Genomic DNA, 18,165 nt, shown 5'->3' on the forward strand with positions numbered 1-18,165 from the left:
GAGCCTTTTGGAGCAGCAGTCTTTAGGGTTTTCTAGGTATAGAATCATATTGTCAGTGAAGAGAGATGATTTTGCTTTTTCTTTTCTATTTTGATGCCTTTTATTTCTTTCCCTTTTTGAGATGGAGTCTCACTCTGTCGCCTAGGCTGGAGTGCAGTGGCACAATCTTGGTTCACTGCAACCTCACCTCCTCACCTTCTCTTGCCTCAGCCTTTCAAGTAGCTGGGACTATAGGCGTGCACTACCACTCCCAGCTAATTTTTATATTTTTAGTAGAGATGGGGTTTCACCATATTGGCCAAGCTGGTCTTGAACTCCTGACCTCAAGTGATCTGCCTGTCTAGGCCTCCCAAAATTCTGGGATTACAGGCATGTGCCACCGTGCCCAGCCTTATTTCTTTCTCTTGCCTGATTGCTCTGGCTAGGACTTCCTGTACTATGTTGAATAGGAGTGGTGAGACTGGGCATCCTTATCTTGTTCTAGTTCTCCCAAATTTTGCCTGTTTAGAATGATGTTGGCTGTGGGTTTGTCATAAATGGGTCTTAGTATTTTGAGGTATGTTCATTTCGATGCCTAGTCTGTTGAGGGTTTTTATCATGAAGGGGTGTTGGATTATGTTGACAGCTTTTTCTGTGTCTATGGAGATGATCATATGGTTTTTACTTTAAATCTGTTTATGTTGTGAATAACATTTATTGATTTACATATGTTGAACTAGCCCTGCGTCTCAGGAATAAAGCTTACTTAATCATGATGTATTAACTTTTTGATGTGTTGCTGGATTCAGTTTGCTCATATTTTCTTGCAGATTTTTGCATCCATGTTCATCAGGGATATTGACCTGATGCTTTCTTTTTTTTTTTCTTTTTTTAAAATTTTATTATTATTATACTTTAAGTTTTAGGGTACATGTGCACAACATGCAGGTTTGTTACATATGTATACATGTGCCATGTTGGTGTGCTGCACCAACTGGTCATTTTGCATTAGGTATATCTCCTAATGCTGTCCCTCCCCCCCTCCCCCACAATGCTGTCTTTTACATTGTGTCTCTGCCAGATTTTGGTGTCAGGCTGATACTGGTCTTATAGAATGAGTTATTGAGGAGTCCCTCTTCCTCAGTTTTTTGGAACATTGTCAGTAGGAATGGTATAAGTGCTTCTTTGTACATCTGGTAGAATTAGGCCGTGAACATGTCTGGTCCTGGGATTTTTCTGCTTGGTAGGCTTTTTGTTACTTAATTCAATTTCGGACCTCATTATTGGTCTGTTCATTAGTTTAATTTCTTTCTGGTTCAATTTTGGGAGGTTGCATGTTTCCAGGAATTTATGCATTTCTTCTAGGTTTTCTAGTTAGTGTACATAGAGGCGTTTGTAGTAGTTCTCTGAGGGTTTTTTGTATTTCTGTGGGGTCGATGGAATATCACCTTTGTCATTTCTGATTGTTTATTTGGATCTTTTTTTTTCTTATTAGTCTAGCTAGCAGTTTATCTTATATATTCTTTCAAGGAACAAACTCCTTGATTCTTTGATCTTTTTAATTATTTTTTTTTTTGCATCTCAATTTTGTTCAGTTCAGCTCTGATTTTGGTTATTTCTTATCTTCTGCTAGCTTTGGGGTTGGTTTGCTCTTGCTTCTCTGTTTCCTCTAGGTTAGATGTTAGGTTATTTACTTGAGAACTTCTGAACTTTCTGATATGGGCTTTTAACAGTATAAACTTTCCTCTTAACACTGTTGTAGCTGTGTCCCAGAGATTCTGGTATGTTGTATCTTTATTCTCATTAGTTTCAAAGAATTTCTTGATTTCTGCCTTAATTTCATTGTTTACCCAAAAGTCACTCAGGAGCAGGTTGTTTATTTCCATGTAATTGTATGGTTTTAAGTGATTTTCTTAGTATTGATTTCTATTTTTATTGTGTTATGGTCCAAGAGTGTGATTGGTATGATTGCAGTTTTTTTTTTTAATTTGTTGACTATTGTTTTATGGTTGATTGTGTGGTCAGTGTTAGAACATGTACCCTGTACAGATGAAAATAATGTATATTCTGCTGTTTTTGGGTGGGGAGTTCTGTAGATGTCTATTAGGTTCATTTGGTCAAGTGTTGAGTTCAGGTCTTGAATTTATTAGTTTTCTGTCTTAATGATCTGTCTTATAATGTCAGTGGGGTGTTGAAGTCTCACACTATTATTATGCAGTCTCTTCATAAGTCTTTAAGAACTTGCTTTATGAACCTGGGTGCTCCTATGTTTGCTGCATATATAGGATAATTAGGTCTTTTTGTTGAATTGAATGCTTTACCATTATGTAGTGCCCTTGTCTTTTATATATATATTATATATATATATTTTTTTTATTATAGTTTAAGTTCTAGGGTACATGTGCACAGCGTGCAGGTTTGTTACATATGTATACATGTGCCATGTTGGTGTGCTGCACCCATTAACTCGTCATTTACATTAGGTATATCTACTAATGCTATCCTTCCCCGCTCCCCCCACCCCACAACAGGCCCCAGTGTGTGATGTTCCCCTTCAAAAATGATGAGTTCATGTCCTTTGTAGGGACGTGGATGAAGCTGGAAACCATTTTTGTCTTTTTTTATCTTTAGTGGTTTAAAGTCGGCTTTGTCTGTTATAATAGCAACCCCTACTTTTTTCTATTTTCTGTTTGCTTGGTAGATTTTTCTCTATCCCTTTATTTTGAGCTTATGGGTGTCATTGCATGTGAGGTGGGTCTCTTGAAGATGGCACACCATTGGGTCTTGACTCTTTGTCCAACTTGCCACTCTGTGCCTTATAATTGGGGCATTTAGCTTGTTTACATTCAACGTTAATATTGACATGTGGATTTGATATTGTCATCATGTTGTTAGCCGGTTATTATGCAGACTTGTTTGTGTTGTTGCTTTATAGTGGCAATGGTCTATGTACTTAAGTGTGTTTTTGTAGTGGCTGGTGATGGTCTTTCCTTTTTATATTTAACACTCCCTTCAGGACCTCTCGTAAGGCAGGTCTAATGGTAACAAATTCCCTTAGCATTTGTTTGTCTGAAAAGGATCTTATTTCTCCTTTGCTTAGTTTGGCTGCATATGAAATTCTTGGTTGGGGCTGGGTGTGGTGGCTCACGCCTGTAATCCTAGCACTTTGGGAGGCTGAGGCAGGTGGATTGCTTGAGCCCAGGAGTTTGAGACCAGCCGGGGCAATATGATGAAACCCTGTCTCTACAAAAAATGCTAAAATTAGCCGGGTGTGGTGGCATGTGCCTGTAGTCCCAGCTACTCAGGAGGCTGAGGTGGGAGGACTGCTTGGGCCCAGGAGGTCATTGCTGCAGTGAGCCATGATCATGCCACTGCACTCCAGCCTGGGTGACAGAGTGAAACCCTGTCACATATACACACACACAAAAAAACACACACACGAAATTCATGATTGGAATTTCTTTACCTTAAGAATGTTGAATATAGTCCTCCAATCTCTTCCAGCTTGCAGAGTTTCTGCTGAAAGGTTCACTGTTCGCCTGATGGAGTTTCTTTTGTAGGTGACTTGCCCCTTCCCTCTAGCTGCCTTTAACATTTTTTTCCTTCATTTTGACTTTGATGAATCTGATGACTGTGTCCTGGGGATGATCATTTTGGATAGTATCTCACAGAAGTTCTCTGCATTTCTTGAATTTGAATTCAGGCCCCCAGCTTTGTTCTCTGGGCCCTTCAGGTTAGGAACCTTCTGTGCTGGAGGAGCCCAGGTGTTCTTGGATCTCTGGCCACAACACTGATGTGTGGTGCCAGCCAAATTGCGTTGTTGGGGTGGTGGCAGTGGGATCTGTGCTTGTTCACATGTACCAACAGCAGCTGCGTTATGGTGGGATGCACACTCCATGGCTTGGATGGGGTGCTGGTGGGTGCGGCGCTGCCAGCCTCTGTGTGCATATTCATACTGGTGGTGGTGTTGGCGCATGGGGTAGTGCGGTGCTGGCAGGTACAGGGCTGCCAGTCTCCATGTGTGTGTTCGTGCTGGTGGCAGTGTGGGGGGTGGCGTGTGGGTTGCTGTCCTCCGTATGCGCGTTTGCAGTGGCAATGGCCACGCAGTGGTGGGGTTACACTCTACACCACAGCTGTGGCATAGTGGGATGCATATGCACATGGGTGCCAGCGATGGAGGGGAGGTGAGGTCTACCCACACGTGTGCCAGCAAAACGGTAGGGCAGGTGGGGGCGTGGCCGAGTGCATGTTCCTGCTGGCAAAGCAGCACAGAGGAGGCTGCAGTCAGTGGTGGTCTGGTGTGCCTCAGTGGAGGCTGCTCTACTGGAGCTCTTGATGGTCAGCATTATCTGCCAGTGAAGGAGCTATGATGTAGGCCCCCTGGAGGCACCTCAGTTGGGCATCCGAGGGTACACTGCAAGTGTGCTCCACCAGGTTGGGACCCTGGGAGAGGCCAGCAGACAAGGGGTGCTTTGATTGGACTGGCTCCATTTCACATGCAAGACCACCATGATCTGTTCAGATTTGACAGTTCTCCTAAGGCTAAAGTCTCCTAGGAGAGCATGGTGAGCCTTGGGAGATGGACAACCCTGGTTGTGCTCCACTGCAGACATTACTGCACCAAACCCTCTGGGTTCCACACTGCATTCCTACCCCTACCACCTCTCTAAGCACCTCTCCCAGCCAGCTCAGGTGTCCACACCCTGGGGTCGTGGGGTCTCCTGCTGCTAGGATTTCAGAGGTCTGTGGTGAGAGGGGTTTGTTTTTCACCTCTTCAACTCACCCCTTCCTCAGGAGTCCTTGAGGGCCAGAAGTAAGTCTTGGTGTGTGATAGCCCAATGCAGGGTTCCCAGTTTCTTCTTTCTTCAGCCCAGCATCTATATCCTCCCTCCATCCATTCTCATTGCCTTCCCTCCAAAGATCTCAGAATGTGCCAGTCTTCCCAAAGTCCCAGTCACTTGGTGGCATGTGTTCCTCCTGGCTGCGTCTAGTTGGCCATCTTGCCCCAGGGTCTTCTCTCTAATTTTAGGCATTTATTTTCTTCTGCTAGTTTTGGGGTTGGTTTGTTCTTTTTTTTTTTTTTTTTTTTTTCTAATTCCATTAGGTGCAAAGTTAAATTGTTAATTTGAAATCTTTCTAACCTCTTGATGAAGAAATTTAGTGTTATAAACTTTCCTCTTAATACTGCTTTAGCTGCCTCCCAGAGATTTTGGGAAGTTGTGTTCCTATTTTCATTAATATCAAATAATTTTTTGACTTCCGCCTTAATTTCTTGTTCACCCAGGAGTTATTCAGGAGCAAGTTGTGTCCTTTCTATATTTGCGTAGTTTTGAGAGATCTTCTTGATATTCATTTTAATTTTTTTGGCACTGTGGTCTGATAGTGTGCTTGATGTGATTTCGATTTTTAAAAAAATTTATTGACACTTACTTTATGACCAAACATGTGGTTGCTCTTAGAGTATGTTTCTTGTACAGTTGAGAAGAATGTATATTCTGTGGTTGGTGTGTGGATCGTTCTATAGATATCTGTTAGGTTTAATTGGTCAAGTGTCAAGTTTAAGTCCAGAGTTTCTTTGTTATTTTTCTGCCTTGATGATCTTTCTGTCACTGTCAGTGGGGTGTTGAAGCCCCCCCCCATTTTTGTGTGGTTGTCTAAGTCTTTTTATCAGTCAAGAAGAACTTGTTTTATGAATCTGGGTGCTCCAATGTTTGATGGGTATATATTTAGGATAGTTAAATCTTCCTGTTGGATTGTACACTTTTTTGTTGTTGTTGTTAAGATGGAGTCTCAGTCTGTCACCAGGCTGGAGTGCAGTGGCACGATCTCTGCTCACTCCAAACTCCGACTCCTTGGTTCAAGTGATTCTTCTGCCTCAGCCTCCCGAGTAGCTGGGATTACAGGCACGTGCCACCACAACCCAACTAATTTTTGTATTTTTAGTAGAGATGGGGTTTCACCATGTCGGCCAGGATGGTCTCAATCTCCTGACCTCATGATCTCCCTGCTTTGGCCTCCCAAAGTGCTGGGATTACAGGCGTGAGCCACCACGCCTGGCTGGATTGTACCCTTTATCACTGTGTAATACCCTTCTACGTCTTTCTTAGTCGTTATGGTTTAAAGTCTGTTTTATCTGGTATAAGAATAGTGACTTCTGCTTGTTTTCCATTTGCCTGCTAGCTCTTTCTTCATCCCTTTTTACTTTGAGCCTGTGGGATTACATGTGAGATGGGTCTCTTGAAGACAGCAGATGGTTGAGTCTTGTCTTTTTTTTTCTAGCTTACCATTCTGTGTCTTTTAAGTGGGGTGTTTAGAACACTTAACATTGAAGTTTAGTAATGACATATGAGACTTTGATCCTGTCATTGTGTTGTTGGCTGGTTGTTATGTAGACTTGATTGCGTAGTTACTTTATAGTGTCTGTGGGCTATGTACTTAAGTGTGTTTTTGTGGTAGCAGGTGTCGTTCTTACCATTCCATGTTTAGCATTTCCTGAAGGACCTCTTATAAGGCTGTTCTAGTTGAAACAAATTCCCTCAGTGTTTTCTTGTCTGAGAAGACGAGATAAATTTATTTATTTTTCACTTATGAAGCTTAGTTTGTGGGATATGAAATTATTTGTTGGTATTTCTTTTCTACACTGAAAATAGGTCCCCACTCTCTTCTGGCTTGCAGTTTCTGCTGAGATGTCTGGTGCTAGCCTGATGGGGTTCCTTCTGTCCATGCATTACCATTCTCTCTTGCTTCCTTCAAGACTTTTTTCTTTTGCATTGACCTCGTTGAATGTCTGTGTGCCTTTGGGATGGCCATTATGTTGTCTGGATTTCTTGTACCTGGATATCTACATCTCTAGCAATATTAGGGAAATTTTCTTGAATTATTCCATCAAGTATGTTTTCCAGGTTGTCAACTTTTTCTCCTCTCTCAGGAATGCCAGTAATTCATAGGTTTGGTTGCTTTACGTAATCCCACACTTCTCAAAGACTTTGTTCATTTTATAAAATTCTTTATTCTTTCTTTCTTTTTTTTTCTTTTTCCTTTGAGATGGAGTTTTGCTCTTGTTGCCCCAGCTGGAGTGCAATGGCGCAAACTCGACTCACTGCAACCTTCACCTCCCGGGTTCAAGCAATTCTCCTGCCTCAGCCTCCCAAGTAGCTGGGATTACAGGCATGCGCCACCACACCCAGCTAATTTTATATTATTTTAGTAGAGATGGGTTTTCACCATGTTGGTCAGGCTGATCTCAAACTCCTGATCTCAGGTGATCCTCCCACCTCAGCCTCCCAAAGCACTGGGATTACAGGCGTGAGCCACTGCACCTGGCCTAAAATTGTTTTTTCTTGACTTTTGTCTATATGTGTTAGTTTGAAATATCAGTTGTAATTATTTTTTTCTGCTTGGTCTAGTCTGTTGATAAAATTTTCAACAGCTTGGCAATCATAAAGTGAAGTTTTCAGTTCCAGAAGCTCTAATTGATTCCTTTTTAAGATGTTTATCTCCTTTTTCATTTCCTGGATTGTTTTATTAGATTCTTTGTGTTGATTTTCAGTCTTTTCTTTTATATCTTTGAGTTTCTTCCAATCCATGCTTTGAATTATTTATCTGACATTTCTGAGTTTCCATTTTGGTTGGGGACCTTTCCTAGAGAGCTACTGTGATTCTTTGGTGGTGTTACAAAAATTGGATTTTTCTGGTGCCAGCATTCTTATGTTGCTTCCTTCTCATTTGTAGGTGTTGGCACTTCTAAATTTTTGTTTTTTGAGACAGGTTCTCACTCTTTTGCACAGGCTGAAGTACAGTGAATCATGTCCCACTGTAGCCTCGACCTCCCAGGCTGAAGCAATCCTCCCACCTCAGCCTTCCAAGTAGCTGGGACTATAGGCGTGTGCCATCATGCCTGGCTAATTTTTTAATTATTTGTATAGACAGTGTCCCACCGTCGTCTTGAACTCCTGGGCTCAAGCAATCCTCCTGCTTTGGCCTCCAGGGTTGGAGTGCTGGGATGGATTACAGACATGAGTCACCGTGCCTGGCTGGCACTTCAAATTTTTGTAGATATTTTCATGCAGGTAGGGTTTTCTTTCCCTTTCTTTTCTTGTATTATTATTGTTTTTTCCCCCTTTCCTTCCCCCACTCACTAAAGGGTGTGACTTAAGAGTATGTCGAGTAGGGTCTTTTGTCTTTGTTTCCATGGCCTTCTGTTCTGGCAGCAGGTTGTATATTGGGCTGTGGAGTTCAACCTACGGGCCAGTAGATGATGCTTACGGGTGAGAGTCAGCTGTGGTGGAAGCAGACAGTTATGTACTTGGTATTTGTTTACTGTGAAGAACTCTCTGTTGTTCCAGGTGATAGGCTAGACTGTGGAGGGCTGCATACCATGTACTTCCTATTTTACGGGAGTGCTGGGGACATAGCTGGGTAGAGTGGATAACCTGGCTTGTCCACAAATACCCCTATGTCAAATGTAGAAGTGTAGTCCCCAACCCTGATGAGGGTGGCTAGGAAAAGCTCCCAGTGAATTGTGCCACAGTCTCTGTGGGGGTTTGGGGTGCTACACAAGCCCCTTCTAGATAGACTGGAATGTAGATTGTTGCCCAGTCACACCCTTGTTCTAGAGCTCTTGACTCCTGGATCAGACACACACTGCAGCCTATCTCCAGACCACCATGTGGTTGAGAGCCTTAGGAAATGTCTAATTTTTGACTCTCCAGGGGAGTGGTTTTTGGGGCAGAACTTCATCACTTAGCTTAATATAGGTAGCTGTGTGGCTCCTCTGCTCTCCAATGTGATGACTCTTCTTCATTTAAGAGCGGGGTTGGGGGACTCCTTCTTTGGGCCTCTGCAGGGGTGTGTTGGTTTTGGTGGTGTTGGCTGGTTGCGTCGGTTCAACCTCAGGCAATGGGAGATGTGGTAAAGTACTAGCAAAATTGGAATAGGGTAGGGAGATCTGTAAGTCCCTAGTTAGTCCCTAGATGGCTGGCTGGACTTCCTCTATGAGTCTTGATGGGGCTGGATTGTTGGGGAGCCTCAGGTCCTGGCTGTGATGGGAAGGGGTGAGGGCTGATATCTGGGTGAGGGGCTAAACTCTCAGGCAGGGCACTTAGGCGGTGGGAGCCCTAGGGAAGATCACAGGTCTATGGGGGTAAGGTTTTCGACAGGGCTTTGGGCCATGACTGAAATGCTCATGTAGGGGTCGGCTATGTGCAGTAGAAGCCAGAAGGCAGCAGTCCTGGTTGGGGAGTGGGCAGTGGAGGAAGGGGGTCATGTGGAAAGCATTCTGGCCACCTCTCTGAAGGGTAGCTGCTGGCACTGGAGTTTCTCTCCCCAGCCTGGGGGCAGCAGGGGTGGCCACGGCAGAGGACCTGTTCAGTTGCCTTTGGGAGTGATGGTGATGGGGGGTGTACCTGGGAAGAGGGAATGGGGAGCAGGTTGGGTACTCCTCTCTGCTGATGGAGGTGCTTGAAAGCACCTTTGTTCCCTCCCTAGCCTAGAAGTAGCAAGGATGGGTACTGCAGCAGCTGCAGTGGCAGAGGGCCTGTCAGTTGCCTTTGGAAGCTCCACCCTAGAGAAACAGAGCTGCTACTCACTGAAGTGATTATGTGGGGGTAGGGGTGCCTGTGCTGGCGGCCCAAGTCAGGAGGCCCTGCCCTGTAAGGAGCAGCAGGGGCTGGGCCTCTGAGAGCAAAGAGTCTGGCCACCTTTCCTGAAGGCAGCTGCATCCTGCTGGAGGTCTACTTACTCTCAAGGCAGCTGCATCCTGCTGGAGGTCTACTTACTCTCAGGCTCTTCACTCCCTCCCCAGCCTGAGAGCAGCAGGAGCAAGGACCTGACAGAGGCAGTTGCAGTGGGCCTGTCAGTTACCTCCGGGAGCTCTGACCCAGTGAAATACAGAGCCAGAGCCGTGACCGACTGACCAGAGTGCTCAGTTGGTGGTGGAGTGGGCGTGCTGGGGGCCCAGGCCAGTGGCCTTGCCTGGCAAGGAACAGCAGAGGCAGGGCCTGCAGTCTGACTGCTCCTAAACTCCATGGATATGGCTTCTATCCTAGAGCTACGCGAAAAAACCTGGCCTCCCTTGGTGGGACTATAACAGCTGGCACCAGGGAACTCGGGGATCCAAGGTTGGTGGGGATCCCCGACTCCATGTGGGGTTGAGCTTCCAAGAAGTCTTCCTTACATGGCTTATATGGCTGGGAAGTTGGTCCTGGCTGTTGGCAGTTCTTTGCGATGTGAACCTTTCCATAGGACTGCTTGAGTGTCTTCATGACACAACAGCTGACTTTCTGCAGAGTATGTGATCCAAGAGTACAGGGTAGAAATGACAATTTCTTTTTAAGACAAAGCCTTGGAAGTTACATACCATCATTTCTGCAGTATTCTATTAGTCACAGACAAACCTGATACAATGTGGGAGGAGACTACAGAAAGGCATGGATAACAAAGGTGAGCATCATTGAGTCTTAGAGGCCGCCTACCACTGATATATGCATGTGTGTAAACATATGTACGCATGCATGTGTGTATGTGTATAATTAAAAAAAAAACTTTATGACCATTCTGTTCTCAGAAATGTTGTAGTAGGCAGAATTTCTTAAATGGCCTCTCAAAGATGTTCTGCCCTAATCCCTGGAACCTTTGAATATGATGAGATGTCACTCCCATGATTATTATATGTTATATGGTATAGTTGACTTTAAGATGGGGAGATTATTTGGATCTAATCATATGAGCCCTTAGAAGTAGTGAGCTTTCTCTGGCTGTTAAAAAGGGGAAGGAAGAAAAGCTTAAAACCCAAGAAGGACTCAGGATGCCATTGCTGCCTTGAAGGTGGAGGGGCCATGATTAAAGGAATGTAGGCAGCCTCTAGAAGCAGTGAGTGGCCCTGAGATAAGAGCAAGAAAGGAACCTCAGACCTAGAGCTGCAGAGAAATAGATTTTTGCCAACAGCTTGAATGAACTTGGAAGTTGATTCTTACTCCCAACCTCCAGATAAGAGTCCAGCTCAGCTGAGATCTTGATTTCAACCTTGTAAGACCTTAAGCAGAGAACCTAGCCAACCCTATCTGGACTTCTGACCTGATTGTCTCTGATTTATCCTCTGCTGCTTCTGCTTTAGGAATGAATAGCACTTCTCTACTTCCACTTTTCATCTTGGTGTTGTAACTGAATATATAAGTATACCCAGATTCAGTGACATTCACATAAGTCAAAACTGACTTGCAGTGACATAATAAATGGATGCTGTTCAAGCTGCCAAGTTTGTGGTAATTTGTTATGAAGCAGTAGAGAACTAATAAAATACAGGTGTCAGTGAAGGTGCCTAATTAACTGCATTGCACAGTCTTTGTTTCTGGTTAAAAGGTCAAGCCTAGTGTCCTAGATAGATGTCAGATAGATCTGGTGGGTGGGTGGGGTAAGGCAACTGATTGAATGAACTTAGAGTGGATCTGGAGATTGAGAGAGTAAGAATCAATCTGGAAATATTTTGCTGTCATTTTTATAGTTTCTCTTTCCTGACTTTAACTTAAAAATTTCCTAGGTTATTTATCATCAGTTTTGACTTACGTGAATGTCACTGAATCTGTGTATGCTTACATATTCAGTTACAACACCAACATGAAAAGTGGAAGTAGAGAAGTGCTATTCATTCTTAAAGCAGAAGCAGCAGAGGAGAAATCAGAGACACCAACTCTGCGGACCTGCTGAAGGAAGTGAACTACAGGGCATTGTTCCATTCCCTGAGAACAGCAAACACCTTAAAGTTTGTATTATGTGGAGATCAAATCAGTTCGGTAGCCTTCTCATATGAGATAATATAGATCAGTGTTCCTCATTCATTTTTTCATTATTGTCTCCTAAGAAGCCTTTTTAACAATTTTTTCTTAACCACACCCTCCAATGAAGTTTTTCTACCACACATATACTGTATATCTGTTTTTGTACTGTATAAATATCTGTGCTTTATACATAAAAGAGTAAAATCTTCCCCTTCCTCCAAAACAACTTTTACCCTTGGGGTTAATATTACCCATGCTGAGAATGCATAAGATAGATGCTATTGTGAATAGGTAAAATTAAAGTTATATTTAAAGATACAGGTGAGGTGCAGTGGCTCACGCCTGTAATCCCAGCACTTTGGGAGGCCGAGATGGGCAGATCACTTGAGGCCAGGAGTTTGAGACCAGCCTGCCCAACATGGTAAAACCCCATCTTTACCAAAAATACAAAAATTAGCTGGGTGTGGTGGCATGCGCCTGTTGTGCCAGCTACTTGGGAGGCTGAGGCATGAGAATCATTTGAATCCAGGAGGCAGAAGTTGCAGTGAGCTGAGATTGCACTACTGCACTCCAGCCTGGGCAACAGAGTAAGGCTCCGTCTCAAAAAAAAAAAAAAGTATTCAGAGATATCATCAAAAAAGGTATTTTCAGCTAGGTGTGGTGGCTCATGCCTGTAATCCCAGCACTTTGGGAGGCTGAAGCAGAAGGATCGCTTGAGGCCAGGAGTTTGAGACCAGCCTGAGTAACATAGCAAGACCCTAGCTCTACAAAAAGTAAAAAAAAAAAAAATTAGGTGTGGTGGTGCATGCCTATAGTCCCAGCTACTTAGGAGACTGAGGCAGGAGGATCACTTGAGCCAGGAGTTCAAACCTGCAGTGGGCTATGCTTGTGCCACTGCACTTCAGCCTGGGGTGAGATCCTGTATCTTAAAAAACTATTATTTTCATACTGTAATATAATCTAGAGTACAGGACCAGAGAACTCAGTTCAACACAGAGAGATGTAATATCTGCATAGTTATTATGCCTGGCAAAGTTTTTGTATTTTTAGTAGAGATGGGGTTTCACCATGTTAGCCAGGATGGTCTCGATCTCCTGACCTCATGATCCACCTGCCTTGGCCTCCCAAAGTGCTGGGATTACAGGCATGAACCACCGCGCCTGGCCAGCATCTTAGTTTTTTCTTGGAACAATTACTATTATAGTTCTTTTTTTTTTGAGACAGAGTCTTGCTCTGTTGCACAGGCTGGAGTGCAGTGGTGCGATCTCGGCTCAATGTAAGCTCCGCCTCCCGGGTTCATGCCATTCTCCTGCCTCAGCCTCCCCAGCAGCTGGGATTACAGGTGCCCGCCACCACGCTTGGCTAATTTTTTTTTTTTTGTATTTTTAGTAGAGACGGGGTTTCACTGTGTTAGTAGCCAGGATGGTCTGGATCTCCTGACCTCGTGATTCGCCCACCTTGGCCTCCCAAAGTGCTGGGATTATAGGCTTGAGCCACCGCACCCGGCCTATTATAGTTCTTTTTATAATTGGCAGGATTAGCTGTGGCCTACATGATCACAGGAAATAATAAGGCAGGGGTTGTAAACTCAAATGCCTATAAGCACGAGCCATGTAACAGAAGTACATGAAACAGTTAAGTGTAAGACATAGATATTTATTAGTTGATTTTAGCTGCTGACAACAGCAGCAAACATTTATTTTTTTGCTCATGGGTCTCCATGTCTGCAAAGGTGGATCCTGTCTTCTTCAGGCTGCAGTGAGGTTCAGATGTGCCCCACAAGTTGTAACAGCAGCAGGAAAACCAGAGAGAGATTTCAAATGGATGTTCCTTGAGTACAGTCTGCTGACATTCATTTATCCTGCCCTATGTTTTGAAAGGCAGATAACTAGGCCTCTGTTCTAATACAGACATTTAGCATATGCGGTTGATTGGACCATTGTTCCCAATTCTTCACTTACTCTCTAATTTAGAAATAAACATTCTGCTCTGTAATGGTTTACTAGAGTCTTTTATGTGGCACATGTTCAATAACTGCTGTTAAATGAATGATTATATCCCTTAATACTGTTTGATTTTTGTTAATGGTGGAACTTGGGGTACTTGTCATTTCCATTCCCTCCTGCTTTTTCTGCTCTTTTCCCATCCCTACTCTTCCTCTCTCCCTTCCCATTTACTTCCAAAACGGCAGCTGTCAATATGAAAAAGGAGGGAGTGGTAGAGAGAATCCAAGACATAAACTCTTCCACATGTTGGTGTAAAGTAATTTAAGATCAAGGTTTCTTTCACAAGGCAAAATGCAATGCAACCTGGCCTTTCTGAGATTCTTTTTTTTTTTCCTTTTTTATGGTTTTGGCTTTAGGATTTAGAATGTTAGTTATTTTAAAAATGAATTTTGTAGGTCTGAAGACCTACTCATATTTCTACATAATTGTTGAGCAAACGGAGACAAGTAGTTAGATGCTGGAGGTCATTAAAAAATATTTTTTAATGAAGCTTTTTTAAAACATGCTCACTGGTTTCAGATCAGAGCCAGGCATCCTTAAATTGTCTTCTGCCAGGTATTGGCTTGGCAGATTACCCTGTCCAGTTGCCCTCATCTTGAATGTGAGGAGAGTTAACTTGATAAGATTTTAGGTCCTAACTGGACCAGATTTTACATTCCTCTCAGCCATGAAAAGTTTAAGATGAGCAGGCTTCATTTTTACTTTAGTACAATTAGACCTTTTCTTGGGAACAATTCTCTTTCCTCTTCAAACCAATTATTAACATTTTCTTCCTTGCTGATATTTGAGTGATATTCACTACTGACTTTTTTTTTTTTTAGTTCTTTTACATTTCTCAAGCAGGTTGTTGAAACTTTGGCTCTAACTATATGAAGTGAATTGTTTTTTTACTGGTGTTTTCGCTGTGTAAATATTGTATTCAGTCTGAGTTTACAAGAAGCAAATAACTTAGCCTATTCTGGTTTGGCATGTTTTCTCTTTCTAACCACCATTGGGGCTGAAGCTGGGAACTGAACACAACTTGAAATTTTGTGGTTTGGGTGCTAGAATTCAGAGCTAGACTATCTGAAGCTAAAAATTATTAATGTTGAAATGTTTTCACCCACTAAATAAACCTGAAAAAAAATGAAATGTAACTCCAGGCAGCCCATAAAATCGCATATGGTATAATTTTTTTGAGTCTAGGAAGAGATGAAAAAAATTTGTGAGCAGGATCTGAGATTGTTAAAAAAAATTAGAAATTGTTTATTATGGTTTAAAGTAAATGCTACTATCCAAACTCTAATCCAAACTCAACAAACAAACCCAGAAATCTCTTACTGTTATTCACATGATGTTTTATTTTCTCCAAGACTATACTGAATCAGTACATAAAAATAATGAAGTAGGGAAAATGCCAGTTGCCCTTGTTTAACTTTTCAGCTATTTTTTACATGTTTTCTTTAAAGATAGAATAGTAAAGTAATACTTTACATTTTCAAGGTACTTGATACTTCACTGAATATTTCCAAATATATCATCTTAATTAAAATAATGGCTTGTTTCACCCTTTTAAAAATCACAAAGCATTGAACAGTTTTCAGCTCATTAAATCTGAGAACATATCCAAAACTTGGCACATGGATAGTATGTATAGAAAGGCTAGTCCTTTTTCCTCTGCTAGTTAGCACTCTAATGATATTAATGATGGAAGATTTTTCTCAGCCCCTTTGCTGGACTTATGACAGGGGTATCCCATTTACTCGGCCCACCATGCTCAACCTCTTGCGGGAGGGAGCACGTGAGTGAGTGAGTGCGGGATCTGGCTGGCTGTTCCAGGCACTTGCAGGAGCAAGCTTCATGTGCTGGTATGAGTGAGCAAGTGCGGGATCTGGCCAGCACAGCTCGGAGTGCCAGCAGGAGCAAGCTCTGTGTGGGATCCGCGGCCAGACCAGGCATGAGCTAGCGAGTGTGGGATCCGGCCAGCCACTCTGGGAGCTGCCAGGAGCAAACTCCATGAAGGGCCCGTGGAGGCACCCAGGTAAGGGTGCCTGTGACCCCGAATCCCCAGAGTGGGTGTTACAGTACTCTCTTAGTTCTGCCCTCTGCGGACGGTGGTGTGTTAGCAGCTCAGTTGGCCCCTTACCTCGTTATGTGGGGCAGTTGCCCTCTGCTGGTGAGGGCAAAGGGCCAGCGTGACAGCCTTCTGGGTACCCGCACTTGGTGGGTCCCTGTCTGGCATCCAAGAAGAATGAGGTCAGTTGGACAATTGACGGATGGTGAAGGCAGATAATTTTATTGAGCGATGAAAATGACTCTCCGTGGAGAGGATAGCTAGAGAGGGGACAGGAAGGGCAGGTCATCTTCCCTAAAGTTGGGTCATCTCTTCCCCGAAGTCCAGCTGTCTTACCCAAAGTCTGGCCATCTCCCTTAAATTCCGGCTGTCTCCGGTATTGATTGAGTTTGGGTTCTTTATAGGTACAGAATGGGGAGTGCATGCTGATTGGTTTGCAATTATGCAAAAAATTTTAAAGCAAAGACACCACTCAAAGGTGGGCGAGACAGTGTGGAAAACGAATTAGGAAAGGGTAGGTATACGTAAAATAGGTGAAGGGTGAGGATCAGTCCAGAGGAAAGCGTGCCAAACAGGAAGACAAGTTCTCACTCTGGTCCAGGGATTTAACATATAGCTTGGCTTTCAGGCTTTGAACTGTATCCGGCTTGGAGGTGGGGTTTCACCGGATACCTGGCCCTACCCTATCTGCCTAGGCATTTCACTGCCTCCTGTCGCTATCATTAGTAAGCATAAGCATTTCTTTATTTCAAGATCCACTTTCAACTTTTACTGACAGAAGTTTCCCTTGCCCTGATATCTGGTGACTAATTTGATCCATGTTGTTTTTGAAAATGAAGAAAGTTCCATAAAAATGTTTAGAGCTCTGAATTTAGACTAGCATTCTCCAAAGCAGGGTATGTAAAATGTTTCATTAGGTTGTGGGAAGAAAATATTAAAACTTTTATTGTTTCAATCTAACAAATGAAATTTACCTTAATTAACATTTAATCAATGGATCAACACTGACATCCTCACTTGGTCTGGGTGTCAGACTGTTGGGTATCAGTTATAGTGCATGAGGAAAGCATGCAGGGGTTGACAGAGGCCCCTTGCTTGTTATTTTCAACATACTGGGATGAATTATAAGTCTGCATATATCTAGTTAGGTGGATTTATGGATTTAACAAAATCAAAGTTCACAAAACAGATAAATGGCAAGAAAGATTCCTGCAAAGAAACTAAATTGTGTGCAATACTAATAATGAGAGTGGAAGTGAGCCACACACATGTATAGGTCAGAGCGGATGCTTCTCCTATGAGACATTAATGTTGAAGTAAAAATCAACAACAATCTAATCTCAGCTGAGAAGATGTCCAGAAAAAGTGAAATTATAAGCAAGACAATTTGATAGATGGAATTGTATCCACTATTGTTAACAAAGAAACACTTTCTGATATTTTATTCCCTTGAAATACTGGCTAACAATAGTAGGAAGCCATCATAATTAATGAACATGTGGGACAGGAAGTTAAACTGACAAAAGTTTTTCCATGACATTTAAAGTTATGTGACACATAACTCAGTATCTAGAAAAATGTCATTAAAATAAATAATAGATATTTAAAAGCATCTTTTGTGTTTTCTTAACAGCAAAAGACCAAATACAGTACATTATTAGTAACATTAGGGACACACTTGTTCATAAAATGGATGAAATAAAACATAGGAAACAATATGGCAACAAGTTAAATGAATTTTTTTTTTTGAGCGAAGTTTTGCTCTTGTTGCCCAGGCTGGAGTGCAATGACGCGATCTCGGCTCACTGCAACCTCCACCTCCCAGGTTCGTGCGATTCTCCTGTCTCAGCCTCCCGAGGAGCTGGGATTACAGGCATGCACCACCACGCCTGGCTAATTTTTTGTATTTTTAGTAGAGACGAGGTTTCTCCATGTTGGTCAGACTGGTCTCGAACTTCCGACCTCAGGTGATCTGCCCACCTCGGCCTCCCAAAGTGCTGGGATTACAAGCATGAGTCACCGCACCCGGCCTTAAATGAACTCTTTCATGAACAAATACTTTGAGAAGTTGCATAGAAATCTTTGAAGATGATTTGAATCATTGAGAACTTAAATTATTTAATGTGAGAGGATGCTATATATTTGAAGTACAGATGTTTCTAACAAGGCTCAGATTATCATAGTAGCTATATTTTGTTTCAATAATGAAATACATGAAGAACTAATTTCATTTTGTGCCATTAAAATAAAGATGTATCAGGGAAGATATATTCTTGAAAATAAGTGACTTTATGAATACAAAACAATGTATATGAGAGAATTTCCTGGGATAACGATAGTGTTTTGACTTTGT

At 42.7% G+C, this 18,165-nt stretch overlaps 1 protein-coding gene across 12 annotated transcripts in view, besides 1 other annotated feature; it reads left to right on the forward strand.

Annotated features, from left to right (window-relative positions):
• The window catches only part of RAD51B (RAD51 paralog B), an 863,318-nt gene that overhangs the window by 22,500 nt on the left and 822,653 nt on the right, over positions 1-18,165 (forward strand). The window lies entirely within an intron of this gene.
• Positions 10,897-10,966: an enhancer, noted in NCBI's record as "active region_8588". NCBI's record gives its function as "activates an Ori minimal core promoter by ATAC-STARR-seq in GM12878 lymphoblastoid cells {active_cell/tissue: GM12878}" and the evidence as "EXISTENCE:reporter gene assay evidence [ECO:0000049][PMID:35858748]".

The sequence above is a fragment of the Homo sapiens genome, chromosome 14 (assembly GCF_000001405.40).
Source record: "Homo sapiens chromosome 14, GRCh38.p14 Primary Assembly".
In the NCBI taxonomy this organism is placed as follows: domain Eukaryota; kingdom Metazoa; phylum Chordata; class Mammalia; order Primates; family Hominidae; genus Homo; species Homo sapiens.